Source organism: Homo sapiens, chromosome 8, assembly GCF_000001405.40.
Source record: "Homo sapiens chromosome 8, GRCh38.p14 Primary Assembly".
NCBI lineage: Eukaryota > Metazoa > Chordata > Mammalia > Primates > Hominidae > Homo > Homo sapiens.
Genome location: NC_000008.11, coordinates 99,464,446 through 99,490,660, shown reverse-complemented (window position 1 = coordinate 99,490,660; position 26,215 = coordinate 99,464,446). Strand labels below are relative to the sequence as shown.

The window sequence follows — 26,215 nt, the reverse complement described above, 5'->3', positions numbered from 1 at the left end:
AATGGATAAGTTCTTGGACATATACACCCTCCCAAGACTAAACCAGGAAGAAGTCGAATCTCTGAATAGACCAATAACAGGCTCTGAAATTGAGGCAAAAATTAATAGCCTACCAACCAAAAAAAGTCCAGGACCAGATGGATACACAGCCGAATTCTACCAGAGGTACAAAGAGGACCTGGTTCCATTCCTTCTGAAACTATTCCAATCAATAGAAGAAGAGGGAATCCTCCCTAACTCATTTTATAAGGCCAGCATCAGCCTGATACCAAAGCCTGGCAGAGACACAACAAAGAAAGAGAATTTTAGACCAATATCCCTGATGAACATCAACGCGAAAATCATCAATAAAATACTGGCAAACCGAATCCAGCAGCACACCAAAAAGCTTATCCACCACAATCACTTTGGCTTCATCCCTGGGATGCAAGGCTGGTTCAACATATGCAAATCAATAAACATATTCCATCACATAAACAGAACCAACGACAAAAACCACATGAGTATCTCAAAAGATGCAGAAAAGGCCTTCAACAAAATTCAACAGCCCTTCATGCTAAAAACTCTCAATAAACTAGGTATTGATGGAAGCTATCTCAAAATAAGAGCTATTTATGACAAACCCACAGCCAATATCATATTGAACAGGCAAAAACTGGAAGCATTCCCTTTGAAAACTGGCACAAGACAAGGATGCCCTCTCTCACCACTCCTAATCAATATAGTGTTGGAAGTTCCAACCAGGGCAATCAGGCAGGAGAAAGAAATAAAGGGTATTCAAGCAGGAAAAGAGGAAGTCAAATTGTCCTTGTTTGCAGATGACATGACTGTATATTTAGAAAACCCCATTGTCTCAGCCCCAAATCTCCTTAAGCTGATAAGCAACTTTGGCAAAGTCTCAGGATACAAAATCAATGTGCAAAAATCACAAGCATTCTTATCCACCAATAACAGACAAACAGAGAGCCAAATCATGAGTGAACTCCCATTCACAATTGCTTCAAAGAGAATAAAATACCTAGGAATTCAACTTACAAGGGATGGGAAGGACCTCTTCAATGAGAACTACAAACCACTGCTCAACAAAATAAAAGAGGACACAAACAAATGGAAAAGCGTTCTATATTCATGGATAGGAAGAATCAATATCGTGAAAATGGCCATACTGCCCAAGGTAATTTGTAAGTTCAATGCCATCCCCATCAAGCTACCAATGACTTTCTTCACAGCATTGGAAAAAACTACTTTAAAGTTCATATGGAACCAAAAAAGAGCCCGCATTGCCAAGACAATCCTAAGCAGAAAAAAAAAAACAAAACAAAAAACCCAAAGGAGATGGCATCACGCTACCTGACTTCAAACTATACTACAAGGCTACAGTAACCAAAACAGCATGGTACTGGTACTAAAACAGAGATACAGACCAATGGAACAGCACAGAGGCCTCAGAAATAACACCACACATCTACAACAATCTGATCTTTGACAAACCTGACAAAAACAAGTAACAGGGAAAGGACTCCCTATTTAATAAATAGTGCTGGGAAAACTGGCTAGCCATATGTAGAAAGCTGAAACTGGATCCCTTCCTTAAACCTTATACAGAAAGTAACTCAAGATGGATTAAAGACTTAAATGTAAGACCTAAAACCATAAAAATCCTAGAGGAAAACCTAGGCAATACCATTGAGGACATAGGAATGGGCAAAGACTTCATGACTAAAACACCAAAAGCAATGGCAACAAAAGCCAAAATAGACAAATGAGATCTAATTAAACTAAAGATCTTCTGCACAGCAAAAGAAACTCTCATCAGAGTGAACAGGCAACCTACAGAATGGGAGAAAATTTCTGCAATCTACCCATCTGACAAAGGGCTTATATCCAGAATCTACAAAGAACTTAAACAAATTTACAAAGTCTCTTCCAGAGGTTCCACTAACTTAGAATCAAGCTAATATCAGTCAGCCCAGTCCCTACACAGTAACACAAATTTTAATTCTCTGGGTTTCAATTTTCTAGTATATAAAATAAAAATGCTGGTCTAAAGTATCCGTCTGACAATCTTTTTCGAAAATACAACTGTAAGTTGACAGAATTAAGACAAAGATCTTTGCTCACTTATCAAGTTCCACAAAACTATTACACCAAAGTCAGAGGAAGCCAATTGTTAAGACTGAGAAAAGGAGAAAAGAGAGACTTCATAACAACAAAGAGTAGGAAAGTAGTAGACAGTTTAGCTAGTTTTCCCCAGGAGGAAAAAAAAAACATACACCTTAGAGAAAAGCAATTACTAACATTCTTTTTTTGTTTGAAGGGTTACTATAGAAACTAAACAGACTACTCGAATTTTCCCTTTTTTCCTCTTTGGGACCCATATTTTCTGCCAAAATTTTGAAATATACTTGAACACAGTAAGGGATAATATTAAGTGCTACTATAATTCTGGACCATTCAGGATAGTACTAAGCAAATGATATTAAGATGACAGAAATGTGCTCTTCTAAATCAGAAAATCAGCACCGAATAAAGTATCTTTAAAAATACTTCAATTTACTTTCTTTCCCCTCCCTCTGCATTTTAAACCAAATACATCAGTTATCAACATATTCAACAGTTAAAAAATTAAATACTATTTCTAGTACTACATGAGTTTTAAAATGGTTTTTCAGGTGCAAGTCATATAACATGCATACAATTACTTCAAGGCAAAACTATTTCATTAAAAATTCATCAACCCTTGTGCACCAGTGTTCAAAGCAGTATTATCCACAACAGACAAAAGGGTAGAAATAACCCAGATGTCCAGCAACAAAGAAACAGATAAATTAAATGTGTTATATACATACAATGAAATATTACTCAGCCATAAAAAGGAGTGGAATTCTGATACACACAAAGAAAGGAATGAGCCTTAAATATATTACACAAAGTAGAATAAGCCAGACACAAAAGGACAAATACCATACGATTCTTCTTATATGAAGTACCTAGAATAGGCAAATCGATAGAGACAGAAAGTAGAATAGAGGTTACCATGGATGGAGGGAGAGGAGAAGATAGAGTTGTTCGATGGGGATAGAGATTCTGTCTGGGATGATGAAAATTTCTAGAAATAGATAGTGGTTATGCTACGCACTGTGAGTGTGCCTAATGCCACTAAATTGTACATTTTAAAATGGTTAAAATGGTAAATTTTACCATGTATATTTTTTTACCACAATTTAAAAAAATCACCAAAGAAGTTAATTGATAGGATTGAGAAGTTAATATGTACAAGGAGAGTGAGATTAAAAAGACTAGTTCTTAGTAAGAAATTTTAATACTAACAATATGGAGACTAAGCTGAAATGAACATTTACCATTTGTACTACCACAGCACAGATATTCTGGATAAAATGCCAGGTGAATTTAATACCGAAAAGTGCTACATATCTTTTCTTTGGCCCTCTAGATCTACTCTCTACCCTTCACTACCCTCTGTGCTTGGGAAGTTAATCTATGTGAACAATATGAATGGATTTCCTGGTCCTCTGTTTTTTTTTTTTTTTTCTTGGTTTCGGTCAATGAGAAACAGTGGCAGGAGACAGAGGAAGTGGAGAATGAAGTCTGGGTATTTATTCCCTGTTCTGATAAACTCTCTCTCCTGCCCTTTAAGCCTACTGGTGTCACCAACTGCTCCAGCATACTCAATCATCTCCTGTTAACTGAGATTTCCCTTCCCAGTTAACATCTTTGACCTTTTACTAAATTCTCATAAACTCCAATTTCAGACTACCATCTTTTTCTAATACGATAGCAAAACTTGAAATAAAGACAAATACTATGGTGTCAGAAACGAAGAGGAAACACAAAGTCAGGGTAACAAGTGGAAACAGTCCTTGGGAGTATGTAGAAGTATCAAACTCAGATAAGGGTCGAGGGGTTGAGCAATGGTGTTTAAACACTCATTCAGGGACTGCAGACATAGTGTAGAGTCTGAACTGGGGAGTTCTTTGCATAAAGCCTGGAGGCAAACAGAGCTGCTTTTTAAGCAAAAGATACACTAGACACTAGGCTTCAGCAGGCTAAGAAATGCCATGGATGTTTTTCAGATTCCTAGGACAGAGAAGAGGTGAAAGTGGTGGCATGATAAAATCATTCATGCCTGGGCAGGATGGCTCACGCCTGTAATCCCAGCACTTTGGGAGGCAGAACACCTGAGGTCAGGAGTTCCAGACCAGCCTGGCCAACATGGTGAAACCCCATCTCTAGTAAAAGTACAAAAATCAGCCAGGAGTGGTGGCAGGCGCCTGTAATCCCAGCTACTCAGGAGGCTGAGGCAGGAGAATCGCTTGAAACTGGAAGGCAGAGGTTGCACTGAGCCGAGATCGCGCCACTGCACTCCAGCCTGGACAACTATAGTAAAAAAAAAAACCAAAACAAACATGAGAAACTAAATGCTATTATTTGCTTGTGTGGGACGTCGTGCATACTACTTATATGATAAGACAAACCCTTGTTGATAAAGAAACCTAAAAACTGCCCAAGGTTCCCTGAAATCTCTAGCACCCTGGCAAAAGCAGTCAAAATGCTCTGTAGGGACAATTCTGCAACAGAGGGCTCATAGGAATCACACAGAAAAATTAAACTGTTGAAGATGAGTTCACAATAAGATATTACAAACCACATGAGAAAATGAACCAGAAAAAGGGAGAGTCAGCAGATATAACAAAAACTTAGCATCTCCAATAAATGGAGTTAAGAAATCTAAAAGGACTATAAACCAATTATTTTAAAATGTTAAGAAATAAAAGAATGAACAATATGAAGAGGAGACTATATAAATACTTTTTTGTTTGTTTTAATCTATTCAAAAGCCTTTATGCTTCTTTGAACATAGCATTCCTGGAAAGCTCTAGAAGTCCTTCTCTCCTCCTAGTAATAATCATTGTCCTGATAATCTGTTGATTATAAGAATATTTTCTATTAGCCACACTATCATGTCAACAACATAACTATCTGTATACAGATTTAAATATAGAATATATGTGTTGTGGATAGTTATAGTAGTACTTCCCAACCTTTTTCATATCATTGCATATGTAGGAAATGTTATTTGTATCTGTGGTAAGCAGAAAAATCTCCACAGCATTGAAAGCTTCATTCACCCTAGTCCCATCCAAAGACTCTAAAGGCCAAGGTAATCCATGTCTCAGCATAGCTGTGACACATCTCATGGTGTTTCAGCGCACTCGTTAGCAAGCTCTGAGTTATAATTCATCTTTCATAAATATGTTCTTAATATTTTTTATTGCCTTATTAATAAGGTGTTAATGAATTTAAATAACATTGTTACACTGAAATAATTTTATAATTATAGCTCCTTCCTCTCTTGTTATAACAAAATGATATAACAAATAACAGCATAGGGCTACTATGGTACAGCAAGCATTTGATTAGTGTGGCAGAATCTTCTGCCTAGGGCTAAGGAGAAAATTAAAAGTTGAATTGAAATGACATAATTAGTTAACCCTAGTAGGGTTTCAAAAATCTGTTAACAAGTTACATGAAGCATATCACTGACTGTCAACTTGCCTGCTCTGTTGTGAGTAAATCCTAGTGTTGTTCCTGACTTTACAAGAGCTGGGAACATAAAATGAAGACTCACTAAATTGAAAATGTTTAAATGGTACCCTGTGTATATAGAAATTTGCGTGTACTCAAGGCCTAATGCAAAAATTTTATGAAGGAGATTTACATTAGCTTTCCCTTTTGGAGTACTCACTAAACTAAGTATTTTACAAGCATTATCTCTTTTTTTTTTTTTTTGAGACAGGACACAGTCTCACTCTGTCACCCAGATGGTTATGATATGATGATCAATTTTAAGGCATTGATCTAACTTTACCTTGCAACCTATAAGGAGGTGTTTGTCTATCGAATATTTCATGTTTAATTTCTATTCTTGCTCTCAAAAAATATTTACAGGTAGATTAAGATTAACTATGTGTGCATCTGGGTTTAAATTTACCTCTTTCAAAATTAGCCAGTAAATGATGACATAAGAAAACATAGTCATTGTTTTCATTCAGTAGCTTCAATAGTGAATAACCATCTTCATAAAAATCTTCCTGCCCTTTATGAAAAACAAATCAGCTAAATTGTTTTAAGGTACTTCTCAGCAAATAATCTTCCTAAGTGGATTTCAAATTGATATTGGACTAGTAGTAATCACCTCTTTTCTTGACCACACTATATAAATAAGAGAAGAGGGTACATTTTGAAAATTTTGTCATTTTCAGATCTTTCAAATCTGATACAGATCAGATTAAATCTATAGATAGTACAAAACAAACAAATCTACTATGAGCATTTTCATTACTTGTCTTTATAACCCAATCAGAAAAAATCCTCAACTTTCTAATTTGAAATGAATTTCAGTCATATAAGGGTATTATTAAAATCAGAATTAATTCTTTTTAAGCAATTTAGCAAAATTTTCCCCTTTCTTAACTTCTTCACTTTGGCTGATGAAGATACTATTCTTCTAGTATGTATTATTATACATCTAGTAAAACAAAATTGTTATTCATGTCTTACTCATTTTTAAATATCCATCATCTCAAATATTATTTTCTCCACAAAATAGCCACAGACCTCTTAGAATGAATTTATTAATCCTTCCTCTATAAATGTAGGGCATGTTTTTATTTTATTTTATTTTTATTACATTTCACATCAGGGCCATCATGTCCTTTTGTGTTGTTTGTACACTGCACAATGCTAGAGTGTAGGATTCACACTATACCTTGTATGAACGGCAGTCTCTAGATGTATGACCAAAAGCTGTCACCATTTCATGTGAGCCCTGTCTTTCCTGGACTTGAAATGTCTTTTAAATGTTTCTTTCAAAAAAACACATTTCCAAAAGAGTTGAGTGAGCACTCCAAAATGGATGTCATGTTTTTCTAGACATTCCTGTACACACAGTACTTAGAAAACAACTGTTTAATGGAACACTCTCCTTTCAGCCACTAAAATGTCTCTAAGATTTAACTGTATTTATCATTTTCACTTGTATTATCTTTGTCTAGCAACTGATTACCTTAAACTTTGATTACTCTACCAAAGGATTTCACAAAATATATTTTGTAAAGTGTTAATAGGCAGACTGAGAAAGATGAACTTTTGGTTAAGTAAGTGTGGAAACTGCTGTATTCAATAAAGTTAAATAGCTTTTTTTACTGCAGGAATTCTAAAAGATTTTGTATGCTAATAATATTGGAACTCTTCAAGAAAGAATTCACTGCTTTTACTCTAGAAACGATACGTCCCATTAACTTGATACAGGCTCATTTCTAGACTTCCTATCGCTTCCTCATTTGGGAAGAAAAAAGAAAAAAGAGAAAGAATAATCTTATCACCTAGGTTACTGTGATTCTTAAGATTTGGAATGGGCAAGATAGAAAAGTTGCTTGTACAGGGGGTTAAATAGATGTACTCTAAAGTGTTAAATGCTTTATAGCAGCTGAAATTTGCCCTTTTAACTGAGTTTGTTTGCTTTTACTGATTTGTAAGATGAAAGACATTAACATCCCGTTTACTTGATTCTTATCCCATTCTGTATTTTGCCAATAGCTTTATTCCCAGAGGAAATGGTGTCTTTATGCAGAAACAAAAAAACGTTAACTTCTACCTCCATCTACTATAGAACAGTTGCTCTCGTTGGGGAAAGTTCTGTTCTCTAAGCAATGTTTTGGAAATGAATGGGGGTATTTTTTGTTGACTCAATGTTTGTGTATCATTATTGGGATTTAAAGGTTAGGAGTTAGGGGTTCAAGAGATCCTGTGTAGAATAGGGCAGTCCTGAAAAATGAAGACTGTCTCATACATATTCACATAGATAAAAATCCTGTTTATAAAATGTTTCAAATCTAAACACTTTTTTCTTCATTTTTGCATGATTTCAATATACACTAGAAGTTCCAAAATTCAACTACTATAATGAAAGATTGAACTGTGTTGTGTTTGAAACTTTACCAAGAGTTTGTCACTAGTTTAGAAAATCATGTCACCAACAGCAATACCACTTGTGGTACTAAATACAGACCTGTACAAGTCTATTTGCAGCCATCATATTCACAGTAATTGCATGTGACTATTCCGTTATGTCTTCTAATGTAGTCATGCCCAGGCATTTATATATTGAAGTACATAATACTGTATCTTAAATTACTTTCCTTTTATTTAAGACATTATATATTTTTGAAATTATATGTATATGTAAGTTACATTATTTTTCATTTTCATTTCTGGTTATATTTTTATTTTCATATCAGGATAGTAAAGGAGGCATTATAAAATATTTCTTATACAAAAGAGGTACTGGCATGCTAGGTTAGGACGTTAAAAATAAAAAGAAAAGCTTTTATAATTGGGAGGAAGAGGAGAGGGCATTGGGTCTGATAGGGTTGAAAACCACTAATCTAAACCAGGTGACTAGATAATAATAGTCACCTGGTTCAAAAAAGGTGTAGCGGAACAGAGGTAGGGAAAGGGGAAGCATGAGTCTCTTTTTCACTCAGTTTCTACATTTCCATACTTCCGAGGAAACATACCTTTACTGTGTCTCAGTTTTCACCATTTCACAGAACCTGCACTATCCTGAACTACCCCATAAGCTGCTAAAAGTGATTAAAAACAGAAATTCTTGTAGCTAAAAGGAATAGACAGTCACTGCTGCCACAGCTCCTCTTGAACCTTCAGAATCTATCAGTTTTCACAGTAGTGAGGTTATCTTCATTTTAAACCATGATCTGGAAATCTGTGTTATATATTAACCTTCATTTTGTAACAGGATTTTCAAAAACACTTACCTCAGTAGTAGTCCCAATGTCAGCAGATGGGCTGCATGTGCTGGTATCTGGAGGAGCTGTGCCTATACTGCTTCTAACTGGAGAAGTAGGAACAGGCCCTGCCATGGTCTCTGGAGAGGTTGGAGATAGGTTGAGATTGCCTCTCTTCTGAATCTTGTTCCAGACCTTATTCATGATATCAGTTAGTTCATAGAAGAGCTGGACCTGAGAGCATAAGAAAAAAGAAAAGAAAACAAGTCTTTCAACTTCCAGTTTCAATCCACTAAAATAATAATATGAGAAAATTAACTATTCCAGAGAAATAAAATTTATAAAACAAACTCTACCAATGCATCACTGATCACTTTAACTTACACTTGAAATTTGCTTCATACTCACTCTGTGATATTTTCATCAACCTAGCATTCCTGTGGATTAAAACCACAGTAATGTAAGCACAGCTTATTAGCAAACAGTAGATTGATTTCAATATGTGAACAATAGAACACATACAAATGCCTCTCAACCAGAGGACAGAATCAAAATTAAAAAACAAAGGCGTTCTAGTAAATGTAATTATTTAGCATAATATGAAATAACTACCATCTTAATTTCCACATCTAATTTTCTCTGTGATTTCTTGAAACTGGATTTCTTGTCCCACAAAACAAATTTAAAAAGAATGATATAACATTGAACAGTAAAAGGCAAATGTTACATATGAGACTTTTTTTTAATAGATAAAGAACATATCCAACCTACTATTCCCAAAGGAGATGTCATTCCAATATTCGGAGAAAAAACTGTTTAATTTGCACATTGTTTGACTGAGTCCTAAGATATTTACACAAGATTTCATAAATAAGCATTAATCATGAAATTTGTATGACAACGTAGTGCCATATACTGTATAAAACAAGCCCAGGAAGAAAAAATGCAAGCACAATATGTAAGCAAATCCACAGCTGGACACCATATTCTGCTTGCCATTTTAAAAAAGTGAAATTCTCGTATTTATAAAAAGTTTCAGCCCCAGGACACATCCAGATGATGAAGCTGGCTTCTTATGTGGGCAGAACAGATGCATAAAAACACTATTGTCAATCCTCATTTGATATAAAACAGTACTTGGGTGTACAATTTTCTCCTGTTTTTTGTGTAATGAAGTTTCAAATCTCAGGTTACAGCTATTTTTGTTTAAAAGTAATCTAGTAGCTAAAAATCTTATTAAAAAGGTCTTAGAAAAATATTTGTTCAAATTCTTTTGTCCTTCATAATTATGAATGTTTCTCTCTATAGAGAAACAATTTTGTTGCAAACCAGTTTTTAAAAAGATTATTTTGCTTTTTCTTAAATAATTAGAACTGATAAATAAAGAGAGTGCAAACAACAATAACAAAAAGCCAAAACAGGTTCTAAGTATTTCTAAGGGTATTTATTTAAGAGAAATGATGCTGCTTTTATTGTCACTACTTCTGATTCCTTTAAGTGTTAGAAAATACTGTGCCTGAATGGCAACGAGTACACTGTGTGTTTAAAGTGCCATGCAAACCATGACACACACTTTAAACGTATTTTTATTTTCAAAGAAGAAAGTTGCTAACAGAACTCAGACTTTCCAAATTCAGAGGTTTAAAGAAATAAGGCAAAAACATGTAGGATAAATGTTCAACTTTTATCCTTCAAGTTGTGCTAAAACACTATGCCAAGTAAAGCCACAATGAACTACCACTTCCCATGTTTAGAATGTCTAAAATTAAAAAGCCTAACTACATCAAGTATTAGTAAGGATGTAGAGTAACTAACGCTCTCATTTTCTGCTGGTAGGAATGTAAAATTTAGAATACGATTTGACAGTTTTTAAAAAGAGCATATACCTACCGTATATGATCCAGCTATTCCACTCCTAAGTAGTTTCCTAAGAAAAATGAAGCCTATGTCCATACAAAGATGTGTACACAAATGTTCATGGCAGCATTATTTGTAATAGGCAAAAATTGGAGAAAATCCCAAATATACATTGACAGGTAGTTAACAAATTGAAGTACATTCACATGACAGGATGCTGTTTAGCCATAAAAAGAAATAAACTATTGATGCATGCAACAATGTGAATTAATCTGAAAATAATTATGCAGAATGAAAGAAGCTAGGCTAAGAAAAACAAACAAAAATTAGTCTATAATGACAGAAACAATGGTACCTGTGATGGGGAGGAATGGGAGGGAGGACTGCATAAGAACATAAAGAAACTTGAAGATGTTAGATTGTGGGCGTAGTTTCATGTGTGTATGTATGCCAAATCTTAACAAATTAGCTAATTTAAACATGCAGTTTATTGTATGTTAAGTAAACCTCAATAAAACATTTTTTAAAAATCCCTAAAAAATAAATACCATGTGAGGTGGCTTTACATGAGTTCTGTATGAAGGTGTCTGAATATCAACAATGTCTTGTGTATTGAATGCTGACTGAATATAAATATGTAACATTATGTTTAAAAAATTTATTCACACACTTTTTTCATTTAATCTATAGCTGTTCATAAAAAAGATTCAATTTCACTGGAGAGGCTGAGAAAAGCCTCAAGGTATATTCCTGAAGGAGAGACAGGATTTAGATGAGTACAAAGTCATTCTACTCAGAAATACAGAATGAACAAAAGCCAAGCGCAGGGGATGATCAAGACAAGATACAGGGCTGATGAAGAGTCCCTAGGTGGCTAGAGAGGAAGGGCCCATTTTGCAGAGTATCAGGAGATAGTGTCAGAATAGAATCACTAAAGGTAGAGAGGAAGAAGAAAAAACATGGATATACAATGTCAACAGAAATCAAGGAGAAACGGAATTTCACCAATCAATTTAGTGATCTGGGTTGAACAATGCAGAGAGCTCTAAGTTAATACAATCTTAGAAAAACTATTTCATTTGGCATGTAGGTTGTTACTAATCATTAAAACTCAGTTTCAGAAACTTGTTTTTTTTTTTTTTTTACACAAAAACAACTTTTCACATAAAAGATTACACTTGTCCAGTTTAATTTCGTTTAAAAGTTAAAACAAAAATCAAGAGCTCGCGCCAGGTGTGGTGGCTCATGCCTGTAATCCCAGCACTTTGGGAGGCCAAGGCAGGCGGATCACCTGAGGTCAGGAGTTCAACACCAGCCTGGCCAACATGGTGAAACGCCGTCTGTACTAAAAATACAAAAAATTAGCCGGGTGTGGTGGTGGGTGCCTGTAATCCCAGCTACTTGGGAGGCTGAGGCAGGAGAATTGCTTGAACCCAGGAGGCGGAGGCTGCAGTTAGCCGAGACCACACCATTGCACACCTGCCTCGGCAAAAAAAAAAAAACAAAAAACAAAAAAAAAAAAAAAAAACAAAACAAAAAAACAACTGTCTCAAAAAAAAAAAAAATCAAGAGCTCAGAGAAATAAAAAATGGGTGAGTGGTGCAAGGATACAAATCCAGTTTTGTCTAAACTCAAAGCCTGTGTTCTTATACAGCAAACTGATCAACATAACAGCAATAAAAACGATAAATAAATGAATAGAAAACTGGCATAAATCTGTTCTTTCTCAGTTCCACATATATAAACCCCAAAATGCTAAGAAAGTGTTATGTTCCTGTGAATGCCTATAAGAAAACAATGTATCAGTTTGTTGGCCAAAGGTAAACAGAAGTTTCATCACATTAAAAAAAAAAAAGATTCTATGGGCTTCTTTTTTCTTTTTTTTTTTTAAATAAAGACAGCATGTTGTTATGTTGCTCAAGTGGTCTCAAACTCCTGAGCTCAAGTGATCCTCCCACCTTAGCCTACCAAGTCGCTGGGATTACAGGACAGGCTCATTTAACTTTGGAATAAGCATAGTATTTAGGGTCTGAGATACTGGTGTCTAAAGACATTAAAGGAAACAGGGTAACTTTGGTCACATAGTTAAGATGAAGGGAATGGATAACAGAAATCTCTTCTAGTCACGAAAGCACCAAATATTCAACCCAGATAAATATACACAGTGTCTAAGAACACTGAATGGCAATGAAAGTTCCAGGAATAACATAGACAGACAGTAATGTCTGATACAGTAATAAATTTGCTCTCAGCCTACCTTACATACATAGCCTTCTCTATTTTTAAAGTACATTAACTACATGAAGGTACTCTATCTAGGCAACAATGAAATAGATTCAATAGTGTACAAGGGTCACAATTCTGATGTCATCCTAATGGATAAGTCAAAGAAAGGTATTTAAGTAGGAATTATTTCCATAAAATGTAATCAAGAAACGTACACACTGGCTACAGTCAAAAGCTCACAAACCTTCTGACAGTATACCTCAGTATGCAATCTTAATGGGTCTATATAATATTCTGAGAATTGGCTCACGGCTTTTAGCCAATGGTATAAAAAGGACAAGAAGTATTGATTTGCTCCTCTTCCTTACAACAAATATATTTTAAAAACAAAAAGCAAACAACAAAAACAGATGGATAAATGAGAAAGCACAAGAAAGAAATTCTGAGACATTAATTTTAAAAGAAAAAACAGTAAAAGACATTTTTAGGTCATGTGTATGTCTGCGTGCATTTTAGGGGTCCATGATACTCCTTTTAAGACAGGATACCCAGAAAATAAAAAGGAATATATAGGTATCTTTGACCATGAAAGATTAAATTTCTGGCAGAAGATGTCAAAAAGTTTAAAAGCAAATGAACTGCATTACAGTTATGGGGTTTGTATTTATAGAGCCTAAAGAAAGCTTTTACAAATTGCTAAGAAAAATGAATTTAATAGAAGACTGGCTAAATGATATGAATTAACAAATCACAAAAGAGCAAATTCACTGGAAAATAAACATGTGAAAAAAGCTCAATCTTATTAGTAATTAGAAAAATATAAATTAATGTAAACTGTCAATTCACGAATGAGCAAACTCAATGGCCAATAAACATTTGAAGAGATGCTCAGCCATCTGGTGTCATTTCCTTTCAGCATGAAAAATGTTCCTTAGTACTTCCTGTATGCAGTTCCTACTGGTGATAGAGTCTTTTCTCTGAAAATGTTTTTCTTTAGTTTTCATTTATAAAAGTTATTTTTGCTTAATTAAGAACTTCTAAATTGATTGCAACGTTTTATTTTTTATTTTCCTAATTTAAAGATGTTCTTCTGGCCTTCGTGGTTTCTTACGAGAAGTAAGCTGTTAATCAAATCTTGGTTCCCCTGAACGTAAGGTATCATACATGTATTTTCTTGTGATATATTCAATATTTGTTCTTTACTTGTGGCTTTCAATAGTTGGATTATGAGGTATGTAGATATGGCGTTCTTTGCGTGTTTGTTTTATTCATCTTCATGTCTGCCTTACATGTAGCACTCAATAAGAATTTGCTTACTGCATATGGAAAAAAAAAAAAAAAATCAAGCCATCCTTTGGAATTTTGAAAGCATCCAAAGAGAGTCTGGAAGCATAAGCTAAAGCAATCACTCAAAACAAAGAGGTTTATTTAGAGTCTCATGTTTTGTCATTAAAATTTAGGTTAATCTCTCACTTGAAGATATCAAAGAGTATTAATCCCTCTCCAAGTCTTTTAGTTTATATAGATTCTTCAGTGCTGTTATTTTGTGGTTTCACATCTCTTCAGGAATGTTGCTACATTTCACCAGGGATGTTCATACCAATTTGCAAAGATGGTCTCACATTTTAATCAGAGTCAGTCTACACTAATAAAATGATATTCATATAACATTTCAGTGTTTACAAAATATTTTCATAAATATTTCAGACTTCCCAACAACCTTGTGATCAATGTTGGTTACACCAGGTGGTGACAGTTTAACACAATTTTGTTTATGAGGATTTATTGAGTAACTCCAAGGATTTTATGAGATTTATAAAGTAGAATTACATAAAGAGATAAGAGTTACTACATTTCGAGTAAAAATGAACTCTCAGTGCATAAGGTTCATTCATCCTTGGAGTAATTCTAGAAAAAAAGGTTCTTGGCATCAGGAGAACAGGAGAAAGGTGGCACTGGGAACCAGGTGACTCTGGAAGCCAGATAACTGAAGAAAGGACAACAGGGAAGGAACAGACATAGGAAGGAAATACAAGGCCAAACACAAGCCCCATCTAGCTGATGACTTTGCTTAGAGCTGGTTTACATTTAAACAACAACAAAATCTGAGCTTAGCTCCAAACAATGTGGATAGCTAGAGAATATACCAAGTACTCTAGTTTTGAGCCAAAGTATTACATTTAGTAACACCATAAAAATCACAAAACTATTAAGTATCTCAAAGTAAAGAAAATTTTAAAAATATGAATAATAGTGGAGTCTAAGAATATTTTTTGTGTTAGCTAGGACAGCTATGGATAACTAGAACATGTGGAGTAGGACTATCCTCTCACAGCTACAATTATCTTTCCTAAATTATAAGAACTTTGGTAGATAACTCCAAGTAGCAGGGGGCTGTCTATTATATGTAGCTTTAGAGAGAGACTGAGCTACCACTAAGTATAAACTATGACTTTAGAAAAACAACAGTTCTGTATCTTCCAAAAATATCTTCATATCCCTTTGTAATATGTCCTCTTCCTATCACCCCCTCTTTATTCTCTCTCGCTGTTCTACTTCCAGGCAACAAGTAACCTACTTTCTATCACTATATATTAATAGTAATCTGCATATTTTAACATTTTATGTAAATGGAATTATGGAGTAAGAACTCTTTTTCCACTTGGCTTCTTTCAGTCAGCATAATGATTTCAAGATTCGTCAATGATTTTGCATTTTATCAATAATTCAGCCCTTTAATGGCTGATTAGTATTACCTTGGTATGAGTAGGCCATAATTTTTTTACTAATTCACCTGATGATAAACATGTGAGTTGTGTCCAGTTTGGGGCTATACAAATAAAGCTGCTATATACATCTGTGTAAAAGACCTTTTGTGGATATATATTTTTGTTTCTCAGAGGAAATACATAGGGAGAAATCGCTGGGTTGTATGATAAGTGTGTGCTGAACTTTTTCAGAAATTGTCAAGGGGTTTCCAATGTTGTTACATCATTTTTACATTCTCACAAGCGGTGTATGATGAGTTCCAGTTGGTCCACATATTGAGTCTATCATTTATTTTAGCCAGTCTAATAGGTGTGTATTTCTATTTCTTCATGACGTTTTTCCCCTGATAATGATATTGGGCATATTTTCATATGCTTATTGACTATTCAAATAAGTATTTTGTGAAGTATCTGCTCAAGTCTTTTCCCCATTATTTGTCTTTATGTTTATCATTTATTGTTCATCTTCATGTTATTGAGTAGAAAAAATTTTTAGTCCGGGTGCAGTGGCTCATGCCTGTAATCCCAGCACTTTGGGAGGCCGAGGCAGGTGGATTGCTTGAAATTGGGAGTTTGAGACCAGCCTGGTCAACAGGTGAAACCCTGTCTCTACAAAAATACAAAAATTAGCCAGGTGTGGTGGCACACACCTGTGATCCCAGCTACTCAGGAAGCTAAGGCAGGAGAATCGCTTGAACCTGCGAGGAGGAGGTTGCAGTGAGCCGAGATCACATCACTGCACTCCACCCTGGGCAACAGAGGGAGACTCTGTCTCCACAAAAAAAAAAAAAAAAAAAATTGGATAACAGTCCATTGTTTGAAGAATGTCTTGTAAACACCTTCTCCAAATGTCGGGCTTTCTGCTATCTCAATGTGTCATTCAAAAAGTATTTTTTTAAACTTGATTACGCCCAATATCAAGATCAATAAGCCATCAACAATTTGAGTCTTCCAAACTATGAGGAGATATATCTCTTTACTTCTTTCAGGTGTTAAGTTTTCTCAGCAACGCTTTATGGTTTTCAGGATAGAGGTCTTAGATATCTTTTGTTAGATTTATTCATTTATGTTTCTTGGATGTTAGTAAAGAGTGAAGTTGATTTCATTCCATTTTCCGGTTGTTTGCTGCTAGTACATAAAAATACAAATGGTTTTAATACATTAACTTTGTCTCATAAAAGCTTGGTGAGTTTTGTTAGTTTTAGTAATAGTTTATTAGACTCCTTTGGGGTTTTCTATAAAATATGTTACATGCAAACAGTTTTACTTCTTCATTTCTTATCTTTATATCTTTTATTAATTCTTCTTGGTTTATTGTAATGGTTAGGAACTCTAGTATGATACAGAATAGAATTGAAAGCAGAAATCCTGGACTTTTTCCTGATCTTAGTGGGAAACAATTCAATATTTTACCATTACGTATGATATTTACCATTGTTTTCCCTTATATGATCTCTATCAGTTTGAGAATGTTACCTCCTACTTGTAATTTGCTGAGACTTTTCATCATGAATGCATGTTGAATTCTGTCAAATGTCTCACTTGAATTTATTGAGATGATCATATGATTTTTCTCCTTTGTTTTGTTATTATGGTAAATTATATTGAATGATTTTTGAATGTTAAACCAAACTTGCATTTTTAAGATAATTCCTAGTTGGCCATTACGTATAATATATATATTATGCCTTTTAGATATTGTTATCTTTGATTTGTTAACATTTGGTTAAGAACTTATATATCATTTTCATGAGGGATATTAATACCTAGTTTCCTTCTTTTGTAAAGTCTTTTTGAAGTTTTGTTATTAGAGTTATGCTAGCTTCATAAAACCAGTTGGGCAGGGATGCTTCAGGCTTCATTTCTGGGAAAACATTTGTGAAAAATTTATGTTATTTTTTCCAGAATATTTGATAGAATTCATCCATCTAGATTGGAAGTTTTCTCCATGGGAAAGTTTTTGACATCACATTCAATTTTCTTAAAAGATATAGAGCTATTTGGTTTTGCTCTTTTCTTCTTGTGTCAACTTTGATGGAATTCTTTTCCAATGAAAATTTCCATTTCATCTAAGTTGTTGCATTTGTTGGCATAAAGTTGTTCATTATTTTCTTATTATGCTTTTAATGTTATCAACTCCCCTTTATTCATGATATTAGTAGTTTGCATTTTTTTCTCCCTCTCTATTATTTCAGTCTAGCTAAGGAACTGTCAATTTTGTTGATCTTTTAAAAGAATCAGTTTATTAATTTTCTATCTCTTGCTCACTTTTTTGTTAACTGTTCCATTCATCTCTGCTCATATCTTTATTATCTTCTTCTTTTTACTTACTTTGGGTTTCTCTTGTTCTTTTCTTAGCTTTCTAAAATTGAACCTTAAATGGCTGATTTAAGATCTTTCTTCCTTTCTAATATGTCTTTAAAGTTATATTTCCCTCTAAACATTGCCTTAGCTTATCCAGTTTTTTTTTAGTGTCATTCAATATTTTCTAATTTCCCAAATAATTATGTCTTTGTTCCATAAATTATTTAGAAGCATGTTGTTTAATGTCCACATATTTAAAGTTTTTCTAGCTATTTTATTATTATTAATTTCTAATTTGACTGTGGTCAAATAATACTTTCATGTGATTTTTGATCCTCTTAAAAATGAGACCATGTATATCTGTAAAAAAGCACATTCTACGGTTGTTGGATATACTGTTCTATAAATGCCAATTAGATCAAGGTGAGTGCATAGTATTTTCATATCTTCTATATCTTCAATTATTTATTTTTAATCCAGTTGTTTTATCCATTGCTGAAAGAGGTGTTATAAAAATTTCCTACTACGATTCTAGAATTCTCTATCTTTTTCCCTTAATTCTGTTAATTTTTGTTTCATGTCACTCTATCTATGGTAACACACTTTTTATTTGTTCTATCTAAGATTAAAATAAGTAAGTCCAGCCTTTTTATGCTGACTGTTTGTATGGTGTATCTTTTACTATGCATCTATTTATAACGTTTCTTTATATTTAAGTAAAATACAATCTTAGGTATTATACGGTAGCATCTTGTTTTACTTCCCACTGTAGATCTTTGCCTTTTACTTGGAGTGTTTCACCAATAATTTGTGAACTTTCTCTGTGAAGGGCCAGAGAGTAAATACTCTAGGCTTTGTGGGCCATACTGTTCCGTTATTCAATTCTGCAGGTGTAGCATGGCAGAAACCATAGACAATATGTAAAAAAGGAGTGTGGGCAAATTTGGCCTATGGGCATTAGTTTGCAGATTCCTAATTGAGACCATAAATATTTCATGTAATTATTAATATAGCTGGCTTAGCTCCAGCATTTTATTTTTTGTACTGTTTTACCCTCCATTTTTTGTTCCTTTGTTACTTTTTCCCATCTTCTTTTGGCTTCTTTGAATATTTTTTAGTATTTAATTTTAATTTCTCTATTGACTTTTTGGCTTTATCCTTTTGTATTTTTGCATTTTCTTATTAGTTGTCCTAAGAGAGTAAAACATATGCACCAAAACTTTCGGTCTACTTAAGAGTTTATATTGTACCACTTCATATGATATGTAGAAACTTGGCAACCATAGATTCTTTTACTCCATCTTCCACTAGCCTTAATGCTATAGTTGTCTTGTATGCTACATCTACATACACTGAAAAAACCAGCAGACAATGTTATGCTTTTTGATTTCAAGAGTCACACATATTTTTAAGTAGTTTTTTAAAAAATATATTTACCCAGCCATTTATCCCTTCTGTTGGTTTTCCTTCATTCCTAAAGATCTAATTTTTCATCCAGTATCATTTTCCTTCATCCTGCAGAATTTCCTTTAGCATTTCTTGTAGAATAGAGCAGCTGGTGACAAACTTTCTTAGCTTTTCTTCATCTAAAAATGGGTTTATTTCTCTTTCATTTCTGTGGGGTATCTTCACTAGGTTAACAGTTCTTTTATGTTAGCACTTCCAAAATATTGTTCCAATGTCTTCTGTCTCCTGTGGTTTCTAATGAGAAATCTACTCTAATTCAAATCATTATTTGCTTATATGGAATGTGTCTTTTCCTATATCTGCTGTCAAAATTGTCAAAATTTTAAAAAATTTATTTTTCGTTTTCAATATTTTAATCACAATGTGTCCAAATGTTTGTTACTTTGGGTTTATCCTGTTTGGGATTAGGTGAACTTCTTGGATGCGTAAAGACTATCTCTTTCCCCAAATTTGCAAAGTTTTCTGTAGTTATTTCCTCTTTTTTTTTTTTCTATCCCAATCCTTTTATCCTCTCCTTCTGAAACTCCAAGTAGTACACAATATTCGACTTTTCTATTCTACAATCATTGAAGCTCTGTTCACTTTTTAAAAAAACTTTTTTCCTTTCTTTTTCAAATTCAGTAATTTCTACTGATCTATGTTCAAGTTTAGTAACTCTTTCTTCTATCATCTCCAAGCTACCTTTAAGCCCACATAATATGGTTTTCTTCCTTCAGGTACTGTATTTTTTAGTTCTAAAATTCCATTTGACTCTTTTTATACTTTTTATTCCTCAATTGAGATTTATTGCCTTTTCATTTAGTATGCTTTCCTTTGCACCTCATAAAAATTTCTAAAAGCTGCCTTAAAGTCATTTTGCAATTCAATTATTTTAAAACAAGTTGAGAACATGCATTTATGTGGGGGTAGTCAATTGTTTGTTTTTGAATTTTTCCTAGAGTATATAGGAATAATCAGTAGGAAAGATAGGCTGAGGGAGCTTATACTGCCATGCTAAGAGATATCTTATGTTTTCCTTTTTAACAACTTCTGTGATAAAGTGTCTAAAGAAGCTGAATCTGTTCCTCTACATTCTATCAGGCAGAGCCGCCATAACAAAGTACCATAAACTCGGTGGCTTAAAACAACAGAAACATATTGTCTCAAAGTTCTTGGAGGCTACAGTCCAAAATCAAGGTATCAGTAGGGCCATGCAACCTCTGAGATTCTGAGTACAATCCTTCCTTGGCTCTCTGCCTAGCTTCTTCTGGTGGGAACTATCCATCTTGGGTGCTCCTTGGCTTACAGCTCCACTAGTTCAATCTTTGCTTCCATGTTCACATGACAATCTCCATGTGTATCTTTACATCATCTTCCCTTTGTATGTGTCTATGTCCAAATTTTTCTATTTTATAAGGATACCAGTCACATTGGGTCACCCTAATGACTTCATTTTAACTTACTTCTGTTACAAACCTATAACCAAATAAGGTTATATCTGAGATACACAAGGTTAGAACTTCAACATATATTTTTGCGGGGACACAATTCAATCCATAACAGTTTCCTTTCCTTTTAAAAACACTTTAAAGCAACCATTAGCAGCAGCACTCAAAGAGTAATCTCAAAGAAGATAGTCATTTCATAATTATTTTCTTCTATATCACTATGGGTATAATAGAAAGGCAAATAGCCATTAAACTGAAATATTTAGTGTCATTCAAAAGTATTCACTACTGATTCTAAAATAAATGACCTTATGGCATGGTGCTCACACCATGTAATCCCGGCACTTTGAGAGGCTGAAGCAGAAGGATCGCTTGAAGCCAGGAGTTCAAGATCATCCCAGACAACAAAGCGAGACCCTGTTCTACAAAAAAATAAAAATGAAATAAATTAGCTGGTCATGGTGGCATGTGTCTATAGTCCCAGCTACTCAGAAGGTTCAAATGGGATGACTGCTTGAACCTAGGAGTTTGAGGCTGCATGAGCTGTGATTGCACCACTGCACTTCAGCCTGGGGGACCAAGTAAGACCCTGTGTCAAAAAAAAAAAAAAAAAAAGGAAAGAAAGAAAACATGAAATAATGTTTACTGTAGTGGAAGATGAGTTCTTAAGTTTTTATGACAGTGTTCTTTTAATAAAGCTGCCTTGTCATAATTCCAATTAAATGCATTTTTATAATAAGACTCTTACCAATATATTATTAGGTCTAATCTTTTCAAATATAAAAGTTAAATCAAACAGTATAGTATATAGTAGGGAGAAGGAGGCAAGAAGAAAAGAAAGGATGAGGATGGTTTCAAAAAAGACGCTCTATAAAATATGGAATGCAAGCTGATAGTCCAAAGAGAAGTATCACTTGATATAGGGGAGGAAATGGAGTAGGGAAGCACACAAACAAAAATACAGTTAATTGTCACGTGATAGTAAAATGTAAAACATTTAACATTTATGATTAATACTGCTTCATAAAAAGTGAATTAAAACAAAACAAAAAATTTTAAGAGAAAGAGTCTTGCTTTATTGCCCAGGCTGGAGTGCAGTGGCTATTCCCGGGTGCAATCATAGCACACTACAGCCTCTAACTTCTGGGCTCAAGGATCCTCCTGCCTCAGCCTCCTGAGTAGCTGGGACTATAGGCATGTGCCATCAAGCTCAACTAACTTGAACCTACTTAAAAAAGTACTCTTAAAAATTGGCTTATAACAATTAATATAACAAATATAACAAATAATGTTTTTAAAAAATAATATTTAAATTTTTTTTAATATTTCTTTTTAAAAATAATATTTTTAAAAAGAAAAAGATTTCAGGTGTCATAGACCAATCATGCTGTATCTTGTAATTTTACAGTTTAATATGAATTCACATCACCTGGGTTTGCACAAATAATTAGTTGCATACAATTTAACCCTTGTTTATTTACCCTCAAATAGACTAACCATCATTCTGAGCAAATTATTGCAAGGACAGAAAACCAAACACTGCATGTTCTCACTCACAGGTGGGAATTGAACAATGAGAACACTTGGACACAGGGTGGGGAACATCACACACTCAGGCCTGTCGTGGGCTGGGGGGTCGGGGGATAGCATTAGGAGATATACCTAATGTAAATGATGAGTTAACGGGTGCAGCACGCCAACAAGGCACATGTATACATATGTGACAAATCTGCACGTTGTGCACATGTATCCTAGAAGTTAAAGTATAATAATAAAAAAATTGCATGATAAGCAAAGAAGTTCTGAGTGAGAATCTGAATGAAAATTACACTCGATCAGTTCAACAGACTCTTCCAGTCTTACAGTAAAATAGTTCTTCAGTGTTTAAAAACATTACATCTGCAACTGATTTCATTCCATCAGCCAAAAGATACATTTGTACTGCCACCATTACATTTTCAGAAGAGTTTAAATTACACAACTTGAGAGAGCTTCAAAGCAATTCTTAATCTAACCACCCTGATCTTGATGGCCAAGTTAAAAATAATTTAGGATACTCAAGAGAAGAGAAACCCTTCAACAAAATGGATAACAATTGCTTTTAAATCACATTACTTTAAATTTCCTTTCATAAATCAAATGTACCAACCTGGGGATTAGAGCATTTTATCTCTAGTGACTCTAGGTCAACATGGAGACAGACAACAAATGAATGTCGTGTATCAGGTCCCGTAGCAAGCAGTTTTTGAGACGTGACAGCTAGAGTGGAGGTGCAACCCATAGGTTCCACTAGGCAAAGTGTCACTTGTTTTCCAAGAAGGGTATATATGCTGAAATTATGCAAGCTGATCGTCCAAGGAAAAGCATCACCTGATATAGGGGATAAAAGGGAATAGGGAAGCACACAAACAAAAAGACAATTAATTTTCACTTGATAGTAAAATGTAAAACATTTAACATTTATGACTAATACTGCATCATAAAAAGTGAATATAGTATTCCTGAGACCACGGTGCTAAACAATTTACATGCTACTGAAAATTCTGTCAGTAATTATATACACTATAAACCGTACATTAACAGAAATTAAATATATGGGATAAAAATAAAAATAAAAGTTCTAACTTCTTCTTCCCTTACCCTAGTTGGTTGTATTGTGAAACTGTTGGGGACGTATGCAAACCCTGGAGGCCAGAGAAAACAGATCACATTACATAAATGTGATCTGATACCTTGATTTTGGACTGTAGCCTCCAAGAACTTTGAGACAATATGTTTCTGTTGCTTTAAGCCACCCAGTTTATGGTACTTTGTTATGGCAGCTCTGCCTGATAGAATGTAGAGGAACAGATTCAACTTGAATCCTGATTTTATCTATGGTACTGAAAATGACCATAGATCTTGCCATGGAATGAGACAGGAAAAGAATAAACAATCTAATATGGTCTGTTGGATCACCTGCCTCAGAATTCATGTGGGATGCTGGTTTAAAACACAGGTTCCTAGGACTTTAGACCTTCTTAATCAAAATCTCTGATGGTACGACCCAGCATGAATTTTGATATGTTCCCTAGATTATTCTTACATTTGAGTTATTTTTAAATAAAATGCACTTGATAAAAAATTGGCATTCATAAATTTCAGGATTAAAAGCAAAATTCCCTTTTTATACTTTGAGCTTTTACTGACTTATCTCAGGTAAAATTAATTTATTAATATAAACATTTGAGATAAAGCCATTTATTTCTTGTAAATATAGGAAAGTAATTTTTGAACTCTTAAAAAGTCCATTTAGTATTAGAATATTTTTAAACATTTATTATGGTGATATCAATTTTATATCATTTGTATTTTGGACTTTACAATTCTACTAGTGCTTGTCAGTACAGAGAGTATAACACGAACATCATTTTTAGTAATTCAATTATTTTAGAACAAATTGAGGACATTTATTTTCTAATTAGAGAGGTAATAGATGCCATACTGCAGATAAATTGGGAAACATATAAAGAAGAAAATATCAAAACCATTCATAATTTACCTTCTATTTTGCCACCCCCAATAATAAATAATATTAACACTTAGTTATATTTCCTTCATATATATTTTTTCCCCTATGGGTGATGGATGTGCCCAGGCAGAGATGAGATCAGAGATCACACTGCACTCATGGTCTTCCCTTGTTTTTTCACTGAAGAAAAAATACCAAGTGAATTACTAGGTAGATCATACTACAAATATTTTAGAGGAGTCTAAATATATATTCAATATTCAGTAGGTACCAGAAGATACATTCTTATAAGTTTGAACATTAAAAATGTCTTGACCAAATATAGTTAATAAAATTATTATAAAATTAGAAACTTTGAAAGTGAGACTTGCATAATAAAATAAACCTAGCAACATAGTTCACAATAACTTGACTGGAAACAATGATAACTGCATAATAATATGTGGTCAGCACTATGGTACTTTGTCTGTCTTAAGATTTAAAATATTTTTCCCCCTAGGAAGAATGACAAACTAAATCATCTGTAACTAATTCTAAAATTATTTTAAAACCTACATCAAATTCCATGCTATTTAAAAAATAAAGGCTCTGCCAAATTTGTCTTAAAATATTTTGGACTGAGTTCGGATTATATATTTTAAAGCTGGTAGTGAGCTATATATATTTTTTCAAATCCTATTGTATCCAAGAAATGCTAAATGGTGGTTATGCTGGATGGAAGGGGACCAGATTAAAATTTGTTAAATTTTTAAAAATCCCAAATAACATTGGTACTATCACAGTTATATTTCTGCGTCTTCTTTGGAATCAGATTAGGAAATTGAAATTGAGCATATCATACCCTAACTCCTAAAAAAAAAAAAAAAACCTTTCAAGGTACTACACTTCATGTCCATTTATTTAGCATACAGATTGTTTTAAAAAGCACACTATACCTAGAAGATGAAATTTTAACATGCAATGACAAAAATTCCACAATTTCCCACTGTGAGAAAAATTCACAAAACACATTAACTGCACAAGTATTCCTTTCACACACACACACCAGAATGAAAACACCTTATCTACTTATAATACTGGCAAAATAATGTTCTGGGCACTCCATAAAATATGTTCAGACATCCATGACTGGCCAGAACCACATACTATTCTGAGAACTTCATATAGCTTTCTATCAATCTGGGCTGACCTTCAAGATTAAGATTTTTATTTTACTTGGAAAGTTGTAATGCTATAATCTAAGTCTTTCATTTTAGAGAAAATATTGCCGGCAGAATTAAAAAATTTTCAAGCAAAATGTCTAAAGAATAAGAAAAAAAGAACAAGGCAGGAAGATTGAGAATCTCTTTGTATGTGAATTTGTTACCCCTCTATATTATCATTAGAGAAAAGAATACAAACAAAACAATTCTCAAGAAAATGATGACCAAACACTGATGTAATTCAGACCAAATAATGTGAAAGAAAGTGAATATGACAGAAAGCTTTGGGACAAAATGAATAAATAAAGAACAACCAGTGAGACTATGCGTTACATGTGTCAACGCCAAGGGGTGGAGCAGGGAGGAGGTCCCCAAAGGAACATATTAAACTTACAAATGAGTGAAACTTAAAAAGAAAATTACAGGGGATTTCTTTATATTGTATCACATGTTGCTGATATCATACCATGCTATAATCAAAAGATTATGGTTTACATGACACAAAAATAATTTTAATAATATAGATATAAAAAACGTTTTTGTCAATGTTGCGGTTAGTGAACAATGACTATTTATACAAATCCTTATCACAGAAATATAATTTATGACCCTGAATCTTTTTGGG

The 26,215-nt window shown here is 33.8% G+C and overlaps 1 protein-coding gene across 2 annotated transcripts in view; it reads right to left on the bottom strand.

The window, feature by feature from the left end:
• VPS13B (vacuolar protein sorting 13 homolog B) overlaps nucleotides 1–26,215 on the bottom strand; it is an 864,307-nt gene that overhangs the window by 386,920 nt on the left and 451,172 nt on the right. For both annotated transcript variants that reach the window (NM_152564.5, NM_017890.5), the window contains exons 24-25: nucleotides 23,027–23,247; nucleotides 8,859–9,062 (exon numbers count right to left, since the gene is read on the bottom strand). In NM_152564.5, the coding sequence (NP_689777.3) occupies nucleotides 8,859–9,062; nucleotides 23,027–23,247 (425 nt within the window). The remainder of the gene's footprint in view (nucleotides 1–8,858; nucleotides 9,063–23,026; nucleotides 23,248–26,215) is intronic.